Source organism: Homo sapiens, chromosome 17, assembly GCF_000001405.40.
Source record: "Homo sapiens chromosome 17, GRCh38.p14 Primary Assembly".
Taxonomy (NCBI): Eukaryota; Metazoa; Chordata; class Mammalia; order Primates; family Hominidae; genus Homo; species Homo sapiens.
The window spans coordinates 56,572,414-56,575,146 of NC_000017.11; the positions used below are offsets into that span (position 1 = coordinate 56,572,414).

Consider the following 2,733-nt stretch of genomic DNA (forward strand, 5'->3'; position numbering starts at 1 on the left):
TAGAATTCAGCAGGATTAAGGCCAGCAAGGAGGATAGGTCTTCTTGTACCAGCTCAGATGATGTAATCCATTTGCTTCAGAACTTGACAAATACCCATGAGTCTCTGAAGTCTAATTTGTTTATTTTGTTTATTACTATTTCAGCTCCACTTCTGCTGGGAAGGGTTGTTTAAGGGAAACTTAACAAAGGTAAACTCTCAGGACAGTCTTGGTTTGTCACTCTTACTCACTTGAGGACCTATCACTGATCATATCCCACTGAATATGGTCGACTGGAGTTAGCATAATGAATAGCAAAAAATGCCCAGTGTAGTATGAGTAGGTAAAGGGCACTCTTCTGGTTGGTGTGCAAATTGGAACTTTTTAAAGGGAAATTGGCAGTACCAAAATTACAAATGCACAAGCCCTCAGATCCAACAATTCACTTCTAAGACTCTATTCTAAAGAAATATTCACGAGTGAGCAGAAGACATGTGTCAAAGCTGTTCTACTGCAGCTCTATCTATTACAACAATAAAAAGAAAAAAACGTAGAGAGCCAAATGCTTCTTATCAGGAAAACTGTTTTTTAAAAAATCATGCTCCTTTCTCCACCATCGTGGTATATGCTTGACTCCGCTTCTCATCAAGTCTTCTCACAAGACTTTCAGGACTAAATGTTTCCTGGCCAAGAAACAAAAGCAGAATCGTCTCATTCTCCAGTGGATTTGGATGAAAACTGGTAATAAAATCAGATACAACTCCAAAAGGAGACATTGGAGAAGAAGGAAGCTGGGTCTATAAGGAATTGCACATGAGATGCCACACATATTTATGCTGTGTCAAAGTCACTACCATCTTATCATATCAAGCTGAAAATGTCACTATCTGGACAGTTGGACATGTTTTATCAGGAATACATTTTTTTCTCTTGTGAATCTGTTATGAATGCATTGGTTGGCTGGGTTCAGTAATAAATATGTGAGACCTTTCGTTTCAATAAATAAATAAATAATCATGATGCCTCCATGCTACGGAAAAGCATGCAACCATTACAAAGAGTGTGCTACTCTGCTTGTAATCCTATGGACAAACACTCATGTGGTTAAATGTGTTAAAAATAAAGCAAGTTGAAAAAAATAACATCGATAATAGGATCAAACATTTTTGTTTAAAAAAAGAAGATGAAAAAGAAACAAAGGAAAACTCAAATTGGGACCTACCCCTTGGGCCTCAAATAGAGTGCAGGCTGTTCTGGGCCTAGGCTTTTGGGGAAGGTGGGGCAAGGAGAGGGAGCTGTAAGGTGCTACATTTGACTACTCTTTTCTGAATATCATTAAAATTTAATTTTGAAATTTCTGTTCTTAATGATGTCCTAAGAGGCTTGTAAAAAATGCCTACAAGTGCAGAACCATATCAAGCATAATTATCCTGGCCAGCCCCACTGACTGAATTGCCCCAACCCTGTACCCTCTAGGGATGGTTGTCCACTTTATATATGAGTAGATATTGTGTATTGTATGACTGTTGTATATACGTACCATGAGGGAAGAACATATACCACCACATCATTAACACTGGTTACTCAAGGGAGAGATGAGGGAGACGTTCATATTTTTACTTTTATATTCCTGCATTTACTTTTTTAGTGTATTACTTTGTGATTTTTAAATTTTTTAAATGAAAGAAACATTCATTTAGGCATAATAGAAGAAAATATGAAAAAACAAGCCAACAAAATACATCAGATGAGTCATTGTCTCCACGTTGGAAAAATCAAACTGGACTTCTCTCTATCAAACTCTAACCAAACCAAATCCCATTTAATAGCAATATGGCATATCAGCCAGGCTCGGTGGTGCACACCTGTAATCCCAGCTATTTGGTATTTGGGAGGCTGAGGCAGAATGATAGTTTTGAGCCCAGGAGTTCAAGACCAACCTATGCAACATAGCAAGACCCCATCTCATTAAAAGTACATGTGTATATGGCTGTCAATATCTTACGAAGAAAGTTAATAGGGAAGGGAAGTGAGGAATTAGTCTATTTTGTTTATAACCTGGAACAGTGCCTGGCCTATATTAGGTATTCCATAAAATATTATTGAATGTGGAATGAATCGAGAGGAACTCAGGGTATACAAAGACAGGTGATTTTACTTGATTTAAGCAATTGACATTAGGAAACTGATCTGTGGCCAAATATCAATACCCCTGAGTGCAAGTAACACTGGTCTGTAATTAGCATATCAAATGTTTACGTACCTATAACTACTCCTAAATTGCTTTTACGCATTCACTCTCCAAATATCTATTAAAGCTCCAAGAATCAGTCCCTGCCCTTAAGGGGTTTCCATCAAGCTGTGTGAGTAAACCTATAAATCCAGTGTCAGAAAAATACTAGTTAGCAGAAATAGTCCTGGACAAAGATAGAGTCCTGGCTAAGACTTCATCTGCCATAACTAACTGTGTGACCTTTGGCCTCTCACCTTCCTGAGCTGTCAAAATGGCAGGGCTTGAGCCAGATAGATATGTCTCAAATATCTAATCTCATTATACTCCTGAGAACAGGTTCTCCAAAATCCGGGAACCCTAGACCCCAGTTGGAGAGACCTTCCACTAAACATCACTCTCAAGTCCTTTCAGCTCACAAGTGCTGATTCCAGGCATGTTGACTTTTGTCTTTAAAGTGTCCTAAGACCAGCAAGTCCCACTCTACTAAGAGCTTCAAAACTTCCAAAGTGAGCACTGATTCT

The 2,733-nt window shown here is 38.4% G+C and overlaps 1 pseudogene; it reads left to right on the top strand.

The window, feature by feature from the left end:
* Window positions 582-978, top strand: RPL39P33 (ribosomal protein L39 pseudogene 33; annotated as a pseudogene).